The sequence below is a fragment of the Homo sapiens genome, chromosome 4 (genome assembly GCF_000001405.40).
Source record: "Homo sapiens chromosome 4, GRCh38.p14 Primary Assembly".
Classification (NCBI taxonomy): Eukaryota; Metazoa; Chordata; class Mammalia; order Primates; family Hominidae; genus Homo; species Homo sapiens.
The window spans coordinates 63,462,777-63,483,787 of record NC_000004.12 but is presented as its reverse complement, the minus strand read 5'-3'; the positions used below and the strand labels follow the sequence as shown (position 1 = coordinate 63,483,787).

General features: G+C 34.7%; 1 long non-coding RNA gene across 7 annotated transcripts in view; it reads left to right on the top strand.

Annotated features, from left to right (window-relative positions):
• LOC105377253 (uncharacterized) overlaps positions 1–20,549 on the top strand; it is a 66,503-nt gene extending 45,954 nt beyond the window's left edge. For 2 of the 7 annotated variants that reach the window (NR_188407.1, NR_188410.1), the window contains exons 2-4: positions 9,650–9,794; positions 14,843–14,963; positions 17,442–20,549. This is a non-coding gene — a long non-coding RNA (uncharacterized LOC105377253). Of the gene's footprint in view, positions 1–9,649; positions 9,795–14,842; positions 15,092–17,441 lie in introns of those variants that run through there. The other 5 variants (NR_188408.1, NR_188412.1, NR_188409.1 and 2 more) reach the window with 3 other exon arrangements.
• The last annotated feature ends 462 nt before the right edge of the window (positions 20,550–21,011 follow it).

Genomic DNA, 21,011 nt, shown 5'->3' with positions numbered 1-21,011 from the left:
AACTGATTAATAAATACTATGAAACATTAAACAACCTATGCTTTTAATGTAAATAATGGGACCAAATAACGATATTTTGTGTGCATTTGTAACAAAGACTAGAAGTTTGTTAGGAGGTGTGGCTTCTAAACTGTGACATGAATAACGTGTAATTAAATGAAAGCACAAACTGATCATATTAGTTTTAAAACTTTTTTGTGCTTAACACCTTTTCTTTGCTACATGGCTGCTCTTAGAATGAAGAAAAAAACACGTTTACTTAGACTACAAAGTACTTCAAATTTGGTTATTTATTTACATCCCCAGTCAAATCACATCTGATATTACTTCTCCCTTTCTTCTCTGCTTTCTTTGATTAAATATCCCCAGTTTTCTGTTGTTTCCTTTGTGCCTATTTTCTTCCTATAAATGTTCAGTTCTTCGGTTATAGTTGTCTATGCTCAGCTCTATGTTCTTCGAGTCAGAACTCTGAAACATTTCTTGGTTCCCTTGTTACTTTACTTCCTCTTAGGGAAAGCTATTAGAAAGTGTCAAATTCCTTCAGTATTATATATCGTTGAAGTTCAGTATGCAGGTTGTTCAGACCATTAAATACATGAGTATATAATACAAGTATTGTTTCAAATTTAAGCTGTTATTGCAGACTTGCTTTTCAATTGGTTGTCCATACCATCAAATACTTGAAATAAACATTCGTTGTGATTTTTAATAAATCTTGATTTATTTTCTAAGTTATCTATATCAGAAAAAGGATGAAATGAAATTTGAAGTGTGATAATGAATGTTAAGAAGTTTAATTAAGTATTTCAAATTTAAGCTGTTATGGCAGACTTGGTCCTTAATTGGAATAAATCAGTATAGATGCTGCATTAAGGAATGCTTTTACTCAATTTTTTGAAGAGAAAATATTTAAAGGGTGCTTTTATCTAGAAAACATAACAGTGTACTCTTGCTAAAGTATCTTTATCAATATTGATTCTCTTGTTCAGTGCCTCAACTTAATCATATCAACATTGAGAAATTCAGGCTCTCACAAGATGTCATGCTGATACACTATATTAATGAAATTCCTTTGTTAAAACATGCAGGCACCCTGTATTCCTTGCAAATAAACAGATTTAATAAAGAATGGTAGATTATTATGATTAATATGCATGGGCAATCCAGTGTTGTGGAATATGTGTTAAAAGAGCACTGAAAGTGAAGAAAGAAGTGCCACCCTTGATGGCTCATGTGTATGCAGGTAAAGCATGAAAACTTTCACAGACAGCCATTGAGACATCTCCATCCCATTTTCATATGTAAGAACCTCCCCGTCTAGTCTTTACTAGATGAAAAGCAGACAGTATTTTATTGGTGTTATAGTCTCAAGTGAAAGTGGTCCTAAAGGGCACTGGAAAAGTAAAACCCTCTCAGTGGGTAGACTTGAAAGATCCAGTTTGTCTAAGTTTGGTATCTGTTCAGACTTATAGGCACTGACCAGGAACCATAAGGAAGCACATTTGGTATATGGGTGACAGGGAATTTTTGAAAAGCAGTAAGCAAAATAGCCGCACAGAAAGGGCCCAGAGTAAGAGAAAGTTTCACCCAGTACAAATATTACAGAAAAAGTCTTCCTACTCTGAAGATGAGGAAGGCCCATTCACTGGATACCAATTGAACACCTTTCTTAGCCACCATAGAGTTTTCGAATTGGAATTGTAAGCGGTGTCCACAGAGTTACAGATGTCTAGTATCAAAAATGAAAGGAAAATAAACATACACACACACAAAAAAAAAAACTTTATCAAAGATGCTGAGTACTTAATTTGTGAATAAATACAACCACATTTGAGCCCCTGATATCATATCTCCGGGGAACTGGCTAACTCCTAAAGACATTTTGTCTACATTAGAACCCATGCATAGTGGAGTTCATTCATTCATTCTGGAGGTGGTTACCCCAGGATGCTGTTGAGGAGTTTCTATCACTCAATGCCCTAAAATTGATCTATTTTCTTACCATTCCTAAGGCTGATTTCAGACCCTCCTGCCAATTTGAAATATATGCAATATTTAGTGAACAAATATTAATTCCTATTGTCTGCAACCTAATGGTGCTAACATTATACAATTTAAAGAAGAGAACACATTTCAGATATATTAAGAAGAAAATATAAACAATATTTAAAGATTGATTACATGCCACAATAGAACATAAAAAGATTAATGTTCAAGATTTACTTGGCCACTAAATGAAGGATCATTAAACACCCTGACTTCAGAAATAATGAAAGTAAAGTACAGGGAGAAAACGGGGACATAATAAATAATTATATAGCTACTTCTCTTAATAATGATAACAATAAAATGTCAAAAATAATTCACATTGATATAGCATTATGTGCCAGGCACTTAGTGCTTAACATATATTGTCAACTCCCACAAAATTCCTGTATAATAGTAGTAATTTTTCACCTCTTTTACACATAAAGAAATTGTGATATTTAGATTTAAAAAAATAACATATATAAACTTACACAACTAGTAATTGATAGAGCAGGGATACAAACCCAGTATGATATTACAGTCCACTCTGATATTCTGATGAGTCCAGCTTTAACATCTAAGATTTTGGTAGCTACTTTATATTCATTATGAAGCTGTTTTATGGATCTGAAACTCAATAAATAGTTCAGAGTAGATATATATTTTGTAAGTTTGTCAAAATATGAATGATGATTGAGTGAAGGAATAAACCATATAGTTAAGAGTTTGAGCTTTAGGGTAAAACTATCTGACTTCAAATAGTGCTAAATACTGGTTCTTCTTTACTAAATCTGAAGGCACAGGTTAAACAAAATATTCCATATTCGTTGTCTGCTGAACAAGTAAGTAACTCTTTTTAGTAAATATTTTTCTTCAAGTATACTGCAAAAACTCAACATAGATAACTCTTTTTATAACAGAAAGCAAAAAACAGAGAGAGAAAAAATATTTTTATTGTATATATTCTGAAATCAATGAAAAGCAGAAGCAGATATTCACATTAGCATTTGAACAATGGTCAACGTGTGTATCTCTTTTTTCATTTCATACATTTTCATATATATGTATATATGAAATACATATATATTTAGAAATAAATACATATATATACATATATATAGATGGATAGAAGAGAGAAAGAAAGAGAGAGAGATTAACTTGCAGTTGTGAGAAATAATATGGAGAGATTCTATGTATCTTTAACCAGTTTTTCCAGTGGTAACATCTTATAAAACTATAGTACAACATCACAACCTGATAGTGAGGTTGATATGGTCAAATACGGAAAATTTTCATTATCATAAGAATCTCTCATCTTGCCCTTTAAACTACACCCTCTTCTCTCTCACCCACACCACCTTCTAAATCTTTGGTAATCACTATTCTGTAATTCATATCCATAATTTTGCTATTTCAAGAATGGTATATAATTGGAATTATATAGTATATAAACTTTTAGCATTTTTTTTTCCATGGGCATGATTATCTGGAGATAGTTATTGTGCATGTCAATTTTTTTTTTTTTTTGCAGAGTAGTATTTCATGTTATGGATACAATACGGTTTGATCAATCATTCACCTGTTGAAGGACAAACTGGTTGCTTCTAGTTTTGGGCTACTTCAAATAAAGCTGCTACAAAAACGCATGTACAGGTTTTTCTGTGAACTTACATCTTAATTTCTATAGGATAAAGACCCAAGAGTGCAGTAGCTACGCTGTATGGTAATTTCATGGTTTTTGTTGGTTTATATGTTTATTTTTAAGAAACTGCTCAACTTCTTTCCAGAGTGGCTGCACCATTTTACATTCCCATCAGCAATGTCTGAATAATCCAGTTTCTCTGCATTCTTGCTAGCATTTGGTGGTGTCACTATTTTTTATTTTAGCAATTCTAACAGGTTTTAAATTTGGATGTTCCTTATAGCTAACAATTCTGAATACCTTTCATGTACTTATTTGCCATCTACGGATGTACCAAGCATCTTTGGTAAAATGTTTCCTCATGTCTTTTGCTCATTTCCTAATTGTCCTAATTAGTTTTTTTTACTACTGTTTTTTGAGAGTTTTTAAAAATATTTTCCAGATATTTGTCCATTACCAGGTAAGTAACTTGCAATATTTTACTCCAATCTGTAGCTTGTCTTTTCATTATCATGTCAGGGACTTTCAGAGAGAAAAAGTTAGAATGTTAGATTCTTATTGTTATCCTACAGATCTTGAGTCTCTGTTATTATTTATTTCAGTCTAGTTTAAATCTGTTGTTAAGATTAGGTAATTTATATTGTCTTATTTTCCTGTTCATGGATCCTTTCCTCTATCTTCTCCATTCTGCTCTGGATCCCATTCAAAAAGGTTTCTATTTTGTTTATTGCTTTACTCAGTACCAATATTCTTCTTTTAGTTCTTCTTTGTAGCTTCAATTTCTTTGATGTGATTTTCCATTTTATTATTGGGGCTTTTCATTTGTTTCAAGCACGTTATAAAGTGTTTCTTGGAGCTTTCTTATTATAGCTGTCTTAAAATTTCGGTTATATAAAACCAAAATCGGTCATCTTTTGTTGGCACCTATTGATTTTTTCAGTTTGAGGTTTTCTTATTTCTTTATATAAATGATTTTTGATTGAAAATTGACATTTCATATTTTGTTATAAGATTTTATTTTATTTAAGCCTTTACAAACGGGCTTTTTTCTAACACTGTTAACAGCAAGAGAAAGGGGAACTCTACCTTAATACCATCAAACAGATGTAGATTTTTCACTCAGCTTTTATCAGCACCCCGGTGAGGAGGTCCTTGTTGCCACATTGCAGGAGTGGGAGTTTTTAGTCCCCACACGGATTTCTTCCTTTTTCCTTTTTTTTTTTTTTTTTTTTTGACAGAGTCTCGCTCTATTGCCCAGGGTGGAGTGCAGTGATGCGATCGCAGCTCACTGCAAGCTCCGCCTCCTAAGTTCACGCCATTCTCTTGTCTCAGCCTCCCGAGTAGCTGGGACTACAGGCGCCCGCCACCAAACCCGGCTATTTTTTTTTGTTTTTTGTTTGTTTGTTTGTTTGTTTGTTTGTTTAGTAAAGACGGGGTTTCACCATGTTAGCCAGGATGGTCACGATCTCCTGACCTCGTGATCCATCCTCCTTGGCCTCCTAAAGTGCTGGGATTACAGGCGTGAGCCACCGCGCCTGGCCCCCACATGGATTTCTTTGGCACTGCAGTTGAGAGTGGCCTCATTTCTGATGCGCAATTGTGAAAATCTTGACTCTCCACTAAGCAACCTCTTACACTACCCGAGAAGTGAGGGGTAGGAGCACACCTTACTGCCAGTGAAGGTGGGACCCCAGGTTCCTTTTGTGGTCTCCACTGATTTCCAGAAAGGAAGCACTATATTACCTGCAGTCAGGGTGGAAAATTCTGGCACCCTGATAGTCTTCTTTGATAGTAACAGCAGAGTATTGGGCCACCTCTCTACAGCATTGCCAGGGTAGAGATCTAGATCACCATTCAGTCTTTGATTGTTTCATTGGGTCTGACACCCAGTTTTCCATGCAGTATTGGACTAGACTAAAACAATTATCGTACAAAAGTTTACTGTCTTTTCCTGATTGCTTTCTTTGTCCTGGTAGGGCTTTTATTATCTGTGTCCATTGGCTATTCTGATTCACCAGCTGCTTCAACTACACGTTGTAGAAAAATGAAGCAAAAAGAAAACCCAGGAAACTCAGCGCCATAATGATTCCTCAGGTCCTGATTTCCTTAACTGGTCTGCATTTTTCTTTCCACTTTTCAGAGGCTTCTTACGTTTGTTTTACATGTAATGTACAATAATTTTAATTGAACTTAGTAGAAGGAATAGAATATGTGCATCTATTTCATTTTGTCAGAAGCAGAAATTGACAATGGTTGTTTGGAAATGTGACAAAGAGGGTGATCTAAACTTTCATGAGTTGATTAATTAATGGAAGAAGAAACATAATATGCAATATGAAGGGGACTTAAATTGGAAAACCCTGAAATAGAATTGAGATAACTTTTCCTGGGTGTGTCATTTAAAAGATATATTGTTTTAAAGTGAATCTTGGCCTTTTTTAAACTTTGCTTCCCTTGATTATATCATTTTATGACTGCTAATTTCAGCCGAGAAGAACTAATTTTTAAAAAATTATCTAAATCTTGAGAAATATATCTTTAAAAGCATTCAATGCATTTCAGCTTCAATTGCAATTATCTTATTGTCAAATAATAAAGTGATTATGTTTTCCCCTTTCTAGGAACAACTTACATCAGATAAGTGTATTTATTTTTAGATTAATAACAGATAAACGTTATAGAAGGTAATTTATGAACATGACTATGGTCTTGTCTCCAGAATATTGAAAACACTCATATATTTCTTTGTCATAGTATTTGCATATTTCTGGTATATTGGGGCAAATACCTCAAGAAAAATGTTAAGAATGCCAGATATAAACCTTGAGTGAAAACACACATTTTTCTCTCCTGCCTCTGTTGATAATATCCTTAAATGTTAGCATTGATTGTATATTGTACCTAGAACAGAGTTCAAATTAGTAGTAACAGAATACAGTAGTATGTCTATAAAATATTTATGAGGTTTTGTCTTTGACTTTTACTTGTGACATCTTACAGGTGGTCATCTTGTCAACTGTTTTCATAAAGATAAGATTTTCTAAAAGGTGAAGATTTATATTAGTATTTTCCTTCTATTTTTCTTCTTGTAGATAAAGAAGGCCATGCTTATATGGAGGTCCTTAGCATCAGTAGTATAAGATACAACAGGGACACCAATAATAGAAGAAGGGAATTCTCTAAGGAGAGCTCTCCTTAGGAAGTCCTGAGGGGTTTGCAAATGAGCAAAATTAAGTCATCTTACAACTCATCAACAAAGATAATGATATAAATATATAAATAATAACTAAAATAAATTAAAAACCAAATAGGCCTCATAGATGAGAAGTTTGTGGTTTTAATAACCTATTTTAATTCTAAAAAATTATTCAAAAAAGAAACTTTTTGCTGGGCATGGTGGGTCACACTTATAATCCCAGCACTTTGAGAGGCAGAAGCAGGGGGATTGGTTGAGCCCAGAAGTCTGAGACTCTGAGACCAGCTTGGGCAACATAGGGAGACTCTTGTGTCCTCAGCTAATAGGAAGGCTGAGGTGGGAGAAGTGCCTGAGCCATGGAGGTTGACACTATAGTGAGCCTTGATCACACAACTATACTCCAGTCTCGGTGACAGAGTGAAAACTTGTCTCAAAAGAAAAGAAAAAAAGAAAAATTTTTAAAATTTTAAAAGAAAAAAATACACAACTTTCAGAAGAATAATTTTAAGCACCACAATAAAAAGTAACACTAAAGCTTCTGAATTAACCACACACAATTTTTGTAATAAACTTTACAAACCAGAACTGAATTCTGTCAGATTCAAATGTTATGTTAATAACCAGCAGATGTTTCTCTGCTCCATGCAACAAGAACAGTAATTTATATTCTGTATTTTGGGGCCATGAATTAACTGCCAGCAGAGCAAGCTTTATAAATACTAGAAAAATGTACTATCCAGCAAAGAAAAAATGACCTACTTTCAATGAAACCCATTCATAAGAATTTTTTTTCTAAATTGTGCTTTATTACATTTAGGATGTATTTATAGTATATTGATTACAATTATTCAATTGATTCTTACTTGATAGAACCTGAGTACTACTAATGCTGATACAAAGTAAATACAGATAAGTAGAGCAGCAAAAAAAAAAAAAATGGGCAAATAAGAATAGAGACAGTTTGACATTTTAAATTTTTGTTTATGGTCACAGTATGAAACTTAAAAGCTTAACTGAACCATTTAAAATATTTTTTTCTAAAAGGAGAACATCTAAGTAGAAATTTCCATTTTCTGTAGGAAAAAAATTGTTTAGCCAAGATTTAAAAAGCACTGATCCCAATAAAGATAACTCATGGATTCTTTAAATCTATTTATCTCTGAATACCAGACGAATGATTTCAGACTGCATAATGAAATGTAATACTGAAATTTTTGAATTCACCACACAGACAATTTTTATCATAAACTTTACAAACCATGCTAAACTCATGTGACTAAAATGGAGTAATGGGAAACGCATCTCTCTTCCGCTCTAAAAGCAGTAAACAAAATCACAGACAAAGTATGTCAGCCATTTTCAAGATGTAGGCAATAAGGCAATGATCCCTGAGATATGGAAAACAAAACAACCAAATCCTACAATTAACTCATTTTATCTGCTAGAGAAAATTTCCAAGCAGTGATGCAGGAGGGAGAAAGGGGAGCCCAGATTTTTTCCTGAAATGAGCAAATAAAATTGACAGTCTGAAGTCTAAGAGGAAGCTGCATTTCACAGGGGGAAAATATAAAACAGAAAACAGGAGAGAGATGGGAGGGAGAAAAATAAAGAGAGAATAAAAAAGAGGAGGAGAAAATAGGAAAAGAGACAATGAGCCATCCAAAAGATCTGTGGGGAACAATGCACAAAAGAAAATAAATAATTGTTTTTCCCACAAGTAAGCATGAAAGCCCTTATAATTCTTAGGGGTATTGCACAAAGTGTTTAGAATAGGAGCTGAAAATTTAGCCCTAAAATAAATGTTGCTCTGGCCCTACATAATAAAACTCATGAAAAAGACTTCAACACAAGGAAACTTGCTTGCAAGTAATTTCACTGTGGCATAGATCAAAGTTCAAAATGTTTGTAGAATGCAAAAATATCCAGCACACAACAAAGTAAAATTTTCAATATCTGGCATCAAATGAAAAATTACCTGTCAAGCAACAAAGCGCATAAATATGGCATATACTGAGGTGAAAACAAGAAATGATAGTAGACAACACTAATTATCAGCATATATATATGTGTATATATATTATATATATAAAATGACAATATGTTTTATAAGTTAGAGGAGGATTATACATGTTAAATAAAAACTTCAAATATATAGAGACCCAAAATGAATTTCTGTATATAAAATTTACAGTGTTCACGATGAAAAATGTGCTCATATCATCAACAGCTTATTAAACATTGTCAAAGAACAGATATGTGATCTTGAAGTCACAGAATAGAAATTATCTCAAATGAAAGGAAAGAAGAGATCTAAAAGCATTTTAAAGTGACAGCTATAGAACAACATCAAGAGGGCTTGCATATATGTTATTTGTAGTCACACAAAATAGGGGGAACATAAGAAATATTTGAAGAAAGAAAATAATTTGGTGAAAATATGTGCCTTCAGATAGTAAAGGTCAGCCATCCCAAACACATAAAACCTGAAAAAAAAAACTATGCCAGGCACATTATAAACAAATTACATACATCAGTGATAAAGAAAAAAAAATCCTAAAAGCAGAGATGGGACAAAAAAAAAAAAAAGAGACACATTACCCACAGAAAAATAAAGTTAAACTGGAAAATTTCTTGCCTAAAAAAATCGTGAGACAGGAAACAGTACAGCAGTATATTTAGAATAATGAAAGGGTGGGTTAGTGGGTGGAGATGATCAAATTAGAGTTTTATACCCATCACAAGCATCTTTTAAAAATACAATTGAAATAAACATATTTTTTCAGTTATACACAAGATGAATGGATTAACCACTGGAAGACCTGCACTACTACAAATGTTAAAGAAAGTCCTTCCAAGAAAGAAAAAAGGCAACTTAATGGAAACTTGTGTCTACCAAATGGAAAGAAGAGCAATGGGAATCCTAACTACGTGAGTAAATATAACATTTAAAAATTATTTCAATTATTTTGAAAGTTTCCTATTAAAAGCAAAAATAAGGCCAGGCACAGTGGCTCATGCCTGTAATCCCAGCACTTTGGGAGGCTGAGGCAGGCGGATCAGCTGAGGCCAGGAGTTCGAGACTGGCCTGACCAACATGGAGAAACCCTGTCTCTATTAAAAATACAAAATTAGCTGGGCATGGTGGTGCATGCCTGTAATCCCAGCTACTCCGGAGACTGAGGCAGGAGAATTGCTTGAACCTGGGAGGTGGAGGTTGCGGTGAGCCGAGATCGCGCCATTGCACTCCAGCCTGGGCAACAAGAGCGAAACTCCGTCTCAAAAAAAAAAAAAAAAAAGCAAAAATAACAGTAAACTATTTGGTGGCTTATAAAATAAAATATAAGACTTAACTTGTATGACAACAATAAAGACAGGCCAGGTAAATAAAAAGGAAATATACTGTTGTAAGCTTTACAATACACAAACAGAAGGCATCGCAATATTGCTGAATTTAAGATCAGAAAAATTAATTTTTTTCAAAAAGTTTAAGAATTATATATTTTGATAGTCTTTTCTTGGTAAGCTGCATATAACTCATTAAATTATCATATAATTTTAGGATGGTTTAAAATATTTTGTTAAAATTCTAATGCATATATTTAAATATAAAATGCACAAAAATTATATTTAGTAACTCATTTATTCAGTATTTGTGATGACTAGTTTTATGTGTCAATTTAGATATAGCATCTTAAATACTAATCTAGGTATTGTTGTGGGGGTACTTCATAGATGTGGTTATATCTACGATCAATTGACTCCAATTAAAGATTATATAGATAATGTAAGCAAGCCTTATTCAATCAGTGGAAAGGCCTCAAGAGCAAAACTGAGGCTTCCCTAAGGAAGAAGAAATTCTACCCTAAGACTGCAGCAGCCTCTATTAGAGAGTTTACCACCTGCCAGCTTGTCCCACTGATTTAACACTTGCCAACCCCCACAATAGTCAATTATTTCAAATATATCTTATTATAAGTAATATTATAAGTAATATAAGATATATTTATAATATACCATATACCATGATGTATTTACACATATATTTGATAAATATAGTATAATGTAAAAACACAAACTTCATGTCTTAATAATTTTTTTCCAAATCTCCAGTTTTGTCCATAGCTAGATCAGCCTTTGTGACTGAAAGTCCATGTCGCTTAGTCCATAAAAACCTCCATTTCTGCCACTATAACCACTGTGTTCATGATCTCATTGGGCAATAAAAGAAGTGGCTGGGGAAAGAGGATGACCGGTATTGACTAAATGGGTAATTCTATCCACTTGATTATTAAAATATTCCTCTGTTGAGGTCACCTTTTGGTGGGCATTCACATAGGACAAAATTGTCTTCCCATTTTTGCCCATTCAGAGAGTTCTAATTTGCTTATTTGTTCCCATATTACTTTGGCATGAATTTTCTGATTGTATTCCTTCCTAAACTCTAGTTATCCAGCCAAACCATGGGTTACAGCCTATGAATAATATATAATCACACATCTGGCCATTTCTCCTTCCAAGCAAAGTGCACAACAGGTACACCTGTTGAACTTATGCCCACCAGGAGGATTTCTCTTCACCATGATCCTTTAGGGCCTGTCCCACAAAATTGATGTAGTGCTGCAGCTGTTCACTTTCAGGTGGTGTCTGCATATCCTACAGAACCATTTGTAAACCAAGCCCCATTATTCTCTTCATCTGTCAACTGATTGTAGGATAATCCTTGTTAAGGCCATAGGTTCAGACTGGGAGAGAAGGCAATGCAGCAAGAGTGGAAACCATGAATATTTGGGCCCTTTGTTCATGTAACTAACTTGTGCCTTCAGGGCTTGCTCTAGCCTGATCATATATATATATCACTTCTACTTGATAATGGCGTATTTATGCATATGTCCCCAACATGTATGGTTTTGTGGGTCAGATAACACTAAATTTTGATAGGCAGCTCAGATCACACATTGACTTGGTGTCTATGTATTCAATTTCTACTAAGGTCCAGTAGCAGACCAAGAGCTAACTCTCAAAAGGAGAGTCTTATTTACGGATGACGGCATGAGAAACTTGCTCCAAAATTCTAAAGTCCTCAGCAGTGATTTACTTACAGGGGCCTGCCGAAGGCTTCTTACAGCATGCTTATCTGCCACTGAACTTTAAGAAACATTGGATCTTTTGAATCATATGCCCTAGGTGGCAGAGCAGTTTGCACAGAAGCCTTGACATGTTACAGAGCCTTCTCTTACTCTGGGCCCCACTCAAAACTGGCAACTTTTGGGGTCATGTGAAAAATAGGCTAGAGTAACACACCCAAATGAAAAATATGTTGCCTCCACAAGCCATATAAGCTTACCAGGCACTGTGCTTCTTTGTTGGTTGTAGGAGGAGTGGGATGCAACAACTTATCCTTCACCCAAAAAGGCATATCTTGTCATGCCCCACGTCTCTGGAGCCCTAGAAATGTCACTGAGGTTGAAAGTCTCTGAATTTTAATTGGCTTTATTTCCCACCCTCTGACATGCAAATGTCTTACAAATAAGTCTAGAGTGTTTGCCACTTCTTGCTCAGTAGACTCTAGCAGTATAATGTTATCAGTGTAATGGACCATTGTACTGTCTTGTGGAAGAGAAAGGTAATCTCTGCAAACCAAATTATGACAGAGTTGAAGAGTTGATATAACCACTGAAGTAGGACAGTGAAGGTCTATTTCTGACCTTAATGGCTAAAAGCAAATTGCTTGTAAACAAGTATGAAGCCTTATAAACAAGTATGAAGAAAAAGGCATTTGCCAGATCAATAGCTGCATACCAGCTATCAGAGGATGCGCTAATTTGCTCAAGCAATGAAAACAGATCTGGTAGAGCAGCTACAAGTGGAGTCACCACTTAGTTAAACTTATGGTAATTTACTGTCTTTCTCTCTACAGGCCAAATAGGAGAGTAGATTGGGGATGTAGCGAGAATCACCCCGTTTACATCTTGGAAGTTTTTAATGGTGACACTAATCTCTGCAATCCTTCAAGGAATGCTGTATTTTTTTTATTTACTATATTCCTGAGTAGAGGCACTTCTAATTATTTCCATTTAGTCTTTATGAATAGACTATGATACTAGTCAATATAAAGTAGAAAGCAATCCAAGGCAAGTACAACACAAATGCTGCTGAGACAATTTAAGCACATAATTGCCAAAAATATTTTGCTATTTATTGAGCTTACTCATAAGAATGTGCCTTACTAGGCACTCTAAGAACATTATTTTAGCAAGGAATGGTGTTGCCTATCCTGTGTTATCAACTTGGAGGGTAATATAATTCCTTGGATTGATGAAGGTATTAAGAGAGTGTATGTTAATAAAGAAACAACTGTCAAAAGGTTTCTGCTAAATATATTATTATAAACTAATTTAATATGGAAAAGGATATGAAAATTTGAATTTTAAGCATCAAGAGAACAATTCATTTATATACTGAAAGCAGTAACCCCCAAACAGTCGAATGTTATTTAAAAATAATTTTAATCTAATGGTATTAGTGTCTAATATTTATAAGCCTAGAAATTAGATTAACTGACAATACCCAACAAATGGTATAGTTATAGTATTATTGACGTTAGTTTTCTAATTCACATAAAAAGCTATCAAATATAGGCAATTTTCCCATTTGGTTATGCATAAAATTTCTATACATAAAAGTTAAAATGAAGTTGACAATTTTATTATTCAGACCATGCTGATATTTCTTAGAATAACAATTATCAATACCCACCTAGCAATTTTTAGTCTATGTGTCATCTATACATACACAATCATATTCAGTTCTCACTCCTGAGAGGCAATTTTAGTTAGTTTTATAGATGAGGCACTTTGAGTGGCTGTGCAAATAACTATTCAATGGATTCCCTTGGAATTCAAAATATGTTGGCACTTTACATACATAAACTTATTTAATTCTTTCAACATTCAGATATTATATGTAATTCTTTCAACATTTAGATATTATAAATGCACATTTTGTAGAAGAAAAAATACAAAGTAAAAAAATTACAAAATTACATTTATCTACAAATCATGGAGTTAATATTAAATCCAGTTCCAATGACTCTGCTTATTTTCAGTCATGCTAAGATAATTAAGCAAAACAAAACTGCATTCACCCCAAGATTACGTGCAGTAGGTCAATGCTAGAAAAATGGTCCCTAGTCTAAAAAAATGTTCATAACTTATACATTTTAGGACCAGTGGGGGAATTATAGAAGCACTCCAGTGAAATGACATCTTAATTTAACACGGAAGAGGTGAAAACTATAACTTACAAAACAGATCTTTTCATTTGAGTTCAGTTGTTCATGGCAAGATCAGAGCTAACGTGAGACTGCTTTTAGGAGAAAAGAATGTAATAAATGGGAAAAAATGGTCATTTGCTTAATTTCTATTCATTACATATCAGGTATTAATTTCTCATTTTCAAAATAATTACTTCATTTTAGATGCTTTACATCCAATGAATGAATGAACAAACAAATGAATGAACAAACCATACATAAGTAAATAATTTTTAAAAACCAAATAGGGTAGAAGAGGAATCATGAGCTGACATTCAATGTATTGTACAAGGTACATAATTGTTTCAACCAATTTGAGTGTGACTTATAATACTTTATACATTTTAAAGAAAAAATATTTTTATATTCTGGTCACAGTATATGATCATTTTGGGAAAAATAAGTGTGAAAGCACTTTAAAAATACTACTGGATTAAATTTTGTAAAAGTTCACAAAAGGAGCACTGTGTGACATGGAAATTATATCTGCTCAAGGACTTAGAGTGCAAAAGCAACTTGGCTAATGCTGAAAGGAATGATGCTCTGGGGAAAAAAAGAATTCTAATAAAAATGGAAATGATGACCTACTGCATTCCTACGCTTCTTCAGGCTACTGATCATCCTGCCATTGTATGCACCATCACTTTGCCATTTATCATTGTAGGGTACACTGAAGAACACTTTTGCAGCTGACTAACAACTCTTGATATTGAGAAAGTTATCAGAATTATTTGCAAATCTCCTCTCAGATTTGCAAAGGATGCTGGCATTTCTCCATGAGGCAGGTATACAAGCAACATTTTGTGAAATTGTTTGTCTGACAAAATTGTGTGAAATTTTCCAGAATTAAAACAGCATGTAAAATTTAACTTCTATAACTTTCTTTAAAATAAAGGAAAACTGAATGTGATTAGAACAGTTATAATTGATTATTGGTGAATAATAATGGCTTTTGTTTGCAATCTCTTAAAAACTAATGTGAGCAATGAATTGTATCAATTAGGGAAAACAAAATGTAATTAGAAAATTACACAGTAACACTTCAGACCCTTTGTTTTCAGAAGTACAAATATAAGTGAGATTTTAAAATTCTGTCTCATTATTTTTTTCAACATAAAAAAATTTGAGGCTGGACGCAGTGGTTCATGCCTATAATCCAAGCACTTTGGGAGGCTGATACCAGTGGATCACCTGAGGCCAGGAGTTCAAGACCAGTCTGGCCTACATGGCGAAATCCTGTCTCTACCGAAAATACCAAAGAAAAAAAACAAAATTAGCCGGACATGGTGGCAGGTGCCTGTAATCCCAGCTACTCAGGAGGCTGAGGCAGGAGCATTGCTTGAACCTAGGAGGCGGAGGCTGCAGTGAGCTGAGATTGTGCCATTGCACTCCAGCCTGGGCAACAACAAGAGGAAAACTCCATCTCAAAAAATAATTGAGTATAAGTTGCTTAAACTTTTATATTTGGAATTAATTTGGATAAGGATAAGTTGCATATCAATTATTTTGTGCGACCATATAATCCTTTATTGTTTCTTTTAAAAAAAGTGATGTGGTATAAGCACAATTTTGTGACATGATTACATTTAAAAAAAAATTTGTCAATATTTTTGACACGTTTGCCTGGTTCATGTCTGATCTTATATAAGCTGATTTGTTAGTGACATACAGTGAGGAATTTAAGAGGACTCCACAGGGCTCTTCACTGGCCCCTAAATTTCTGTCAATCAATATTAATGTGATATTTCTAGAAACAGAGGACAAAGCAAATTTATAACAATCTTGTTTGGATAATGCTTTAAAATAACTTTTCTCAATGTCTGGAGATGTTTCGAAGTATACTGAAAGTTCCATGGTAGTTGAGAAGTTATAGAATGGATATCAGGTAAGGAAAAGGGGAAGAAGGGTTTGATGGGAGAGTTAAATGGTGGGGAAGTACAAGAAAGAGAAAAAATATGTAGAGTATATTCAACTGTGTGTGTGTGTGTGTGTGTGTGTGTGTGTGTGTGTGTGTGTGTAGATATATACAGTTGAATGTACAGTATATATCAGTTGACCCTTGAATAACTTGGGGTTTCAGGGCACTGACTTCCCTATACACTCAAAACTTTGTGTGTAACTTTTGACTCCCTAATAACATATAATTAAAATTTTCATAGAAAGATTACTAATTGAAAGACTTAAGAGTCTATATATCTTCCTCTGAGCTTCCATTTATTTTTGGGTTTTTTTTTCCCCTAGAGGTGTTTTAATTCCTTGGATAACCTAGTATATTTTGGAGTATGGTAATTAATCCCTTTGATTCAATGACTCAGGAAGGTTCTAAATTTGCATTTTATTATTGATATTAACTAGTCAAATCTATCATTGGAAAAAAGGTAAATTGTGCCAGAAGTTTAAAATTAACAAAATATAATTTGAAGTATACATTTTGTCGCCAAAGCTAAAATAGTTCTCATTGTTTTATTGTGAACATCATCTTTCTTTACTTAAAATGACACGTGCCACAATAAATAGTAAAGACTTGGAACCAAACCAAATGTCCAACAATGATAGACTGGATTAAGAAAATGTGGCACATATACACCATGGAATACTATGCAGCCATTAAAAAGGATGAGTTCATGTCCTTTGTAGGGACATGAGTGAAGCTGGAAACCATCACTCTTAACAAACTATCACAAGGACAAAAAACCAAACACCCCATGTTCTCACTCATAGGTGGGAATTGAACAATGAGAACACTTGGACACAGGAAGGGGAACATCACACACCGGGGCCTGTTGTGGGGTGGGGGGAGTGAGGAGGGATAGCATTAGGAGATATACCTAATGTAAATGACAAGTTAATGGGTGCAGCACACCAACATGGCACATGTATGCATATGTAACAAACCTGCACGTTGTGCACATGTACCCTAGAACTTAAAGTATAATAAAAAATATATATATAATAACAAAAATAAATAAATAAAATGACACGTGAAAAAACAGTGAAGGACAATATCAGACACTTTTTCTGTTGGTGAATTTACAGGTGTTATTTGAAATATGAACATCAGGTAAGTTTGTGTTTAAATATCACATTGCAATGTTTTCATTTTCTGTCTTTCATGGGTCCTCAATAATTTGATTTTGAATAGAACAATTACTTGCTTAAAAACAAATACTCAGAACATAGAAGTGTCCATTTATAGAATAATGAAATCACTAGGCAGAAGGGATGGAATGTGTTCTAAAGTCTGTGTATGTGACATGTTTTAGGAGTGTGAGAAAAAAAGTTGAATGTGGTGATGGGGAAAACACTGAAGTTCAAAAGAAGCGAAGACAAGAAGCTACTCATGGCAGCAGCTTTTCCCATAAATCAAGAAATGCTACAGATTATAAATGAGATGAGACTATCAAGAAGAGACCTAATAGGAGTGTGAAGACCAAAAATTTAAAAGACGTGGTTATATACTTTGAGTAAACTCTATATATAGGACAATGTTATTGTTTGGTTCTGTGTTCCTCACTCAAATCTCACCTCAAATTATAATCCCCATGTGTCAAGGGCAGGACCAGGTGGAAGTAACTGGATCATGGGGGAAGTTTTCCTCATGCTTTTCTCATAGTAAGTGAGTTCTCATAAGATCTGATTTTTTTATAAGCATATGGCATTTCCCCTCCTAGCATTTTGCCTCCTGCTGCCTTGCAAAGACGGCAGTTGCTTCCCCTTTGCCTTCCGCCATGACTGTAAGTTCCCTGAGTCCTCTCCAGCCATGTGGAACTGTGGGTTAATTAAATCTCTTTCCTTATAAATTACCCAGTCTTGGGCAGTTCTTTATAGCAGTGTGAAACTGGACTAAAATAGAAAATTGGTACCAGGAGAGTGAGGCACTGCTGTAAAGACATCACTATAAAGGCACCTGAAAATGGAAGCAACTTTGGAACTAGCTAATGGGCAGAGGTTGGAACCATTTGCAGGGTTCAGAAGAAGACATGAAGATGTGGGAAAGTTTGGAAATTCCTGGAGACTTGTTGAATGCTTTGACGAAAATGCTGATACTGATATGGACAATAAATTTCAGGCTGAGATGCTCTCAGATACAAATAAAGAACTTGTTGGGAACTGGAATAAAGGTGACTATTTGCTATATATGCTTTAGCAAAGAGACTGGTGGCATTTTGCCTCTGTCCTAGAGATCTGTGGAGCTTTGAACATGAGAAAGATGATTTAGAATATCTGGTGGAAGAAATTTATATGCAGCAAAGTGTTCAAGAAGTGACTCGGGTGCTCTTAAAACCATTCAGTTGTATGCATTCACAAAGATATGGTTTGGAATTGGAACTTATGTTTAAAAGGGAAGCAGAGAATAAGAGTTCAGAAAATTTGCAGCCTGATGATGCAATAGAAAAGAAAAATCTCATTTTCTGGGGAGAAATTCAAGCCTGCTGCAGAAATTTGCGTAAGTAACAAGGAGACAAATGTTAGTCACCAAGACAATGGAGAATATGGCCTCAGTCAATGTCGGATGTCTTCACTGCAAGCCCTCCAATCACAGGCCTGAAGGATTGGAGAGAAAAAATAATTTTGTGGGCAAGGCCCAGGGACTTGCTGCTTTGTGCAGTCTCTGAACTTGGTGCCCTGCATCCCAGCTGTGTCTAATAGTGGCCAACATACAGCTCAGGCCATTGCTTTAGAGGGTGAAAGCCCCAAGCCATGGTGTCTTACATGTGGTTTTGGGCCTGCAGATGCACAGATGTCAAGAATTGAGGTTTGAGAACCTCCACCTAGATTTCAGAGGATGTATGGAAACTCTTGGATGTCCAGGCAGAAGAGTACTACAGGGGCAGAGCTCTCCATGGAGAACATCTGCTAGGGCAGTGCAGAGTCCCCACTGGGGCGCTGACTAGTGGAGCTGTGAGAAGAAGGCCACCAACCTCCAGACCCCAGAATGGTAGATCCACCAACATCTTGCATCGTACACCTAGAAAAGTCACAGACGCTCAACAACACCTCATGAAAGTAGCCAGGAGAGGCGCTGTATCCTGCAAAGCCACAGAGGCAGAGCTGCCCAAGGCTGTGGTATCCCACCTCCTACATCAGTGTGATTGGATGTGAGACATGTAGTCAAATGAGGTCATTTTGGAACTTTTAAGACTTAATGACTGCTTTATTGTATTTTGGACTTGCATGAGGCTTGTAGCCCCTTTGTTTTAGCCAGTTTATCTCATTTGGAATGGGACTATTTATCCAAAGCCTGTACCCCATTGTATCTAGGAAGTAACTGACTTGCTTTGGATTTTACAAGCTCATAGGCAGAAGGGACTTCCCTTGTCTCAGATGAGACTTTGGACTGTGGCCTTTTGAGTTAATGTTAAAATGAGTTAAGACTTTGAGGAACTGTTGGGGAGGCATGATTAGTTTTGAAATGTAAAAAGACATGAGATTTGGGAGGGGCCAAGGACAGAATAATACGGTTTGGCTCTGTGTCCCCTTCCAAATTTCACCTTTAATTGTAATCGCCATAACCCCCACATGTCAATGGTGGAAACAGGTAGAGGTAATTGGATCGTGGAGGCAGTTTCTTCTATGCTGTTATTCATGATAGCGAATGAGTTTTCATGAGATCTGATGGTTTTATAAGCATCTGGCATTTCTTCTGCTTGCACTTCTCATTCCTGCCACCTTGTGAAGAAGGTGCTTTTCTTCCCATTTGCGTTCAACCATTATTATAAGTTTCCAGAGGCAAACCCAGCCACACAGAAGTGTGAGTCAATTAAACCTCTTTTTTAATAAATTACCACTCTCAAACAGTTCTTTATGGCAGTATGAAGACAGACTAACACAGAAAGATATAGCTGTTTTGGAAACATCAGAAGTACAGTTGTAGCAATAAATAAAATATGAATAGATTAACTTTCGTACACCTATTTGTGTTGAAAGCACCAGGAGTCATAGCCAACAATCACTTTAATATTTCTCCAGCTAATTCTTCTGATTTATTTTTATGTTTGGTTAGCCAGTGACTTCCCCACTAGCTAAAAAATATTTTTAAAAGTATGTATGTGTTAATATATCTTGACTACTTTTTAATTTTCCAATTAAAAAATAAATCACACTTTAATCTCTGTGTCTTGATTTTTCTCATTTAAGAAGAGCTCATTGACTTAGGGGCTACATACTATATGACAAGTTACATAAATCACAATTTTCTTAAATATTTCCCTATTGATGGTTACTCAGTTTTATTTTTTTTATTTTTGCCATTAGTAACAGTGAAGAAATTAATGATCTTGCATTTAAATTTTAAGTACAGGTGATTGGCTTCTTTTTACAACATTAAAGAGTTGTAATTGACATACAATAAACTGTAATTATATAGTAGGCAGCTTGCTAAGTATTGACATATGTATTTACACATCAAAACATTACCACTATTAAGATAGTCAAACATCCATTATCTCTAAAAGTTTTCACATGTTACTCTGTAATTATTCCTGTCTGACCCTCCCACTGTCCAAAGGTAATCAATAACCTGCTTTCTGTCCCTAAAACTCAGTTTGCTATTTCTAGAATTTTCTATAACCAGGATAAATTTTTTAAAGATCTTATTTTTTTCACTCAATAGTTATTTTGGGTGCATACATATTTTTTAGGATATCAATAGTTTGTTTTTATTGCTAAGGTATTATTTTATTTATGAATATCCCACAATTTATTTATTTATCCAAATGTTGATGGACATTTGGTTGTTTTGAGTTTGAAACTATTATAAATAAAGCTGCTATAATCATTGGTTTTCTATTCTTTGTATAACATATATTGTTGTGGTTGAGGGGTGCAGATAT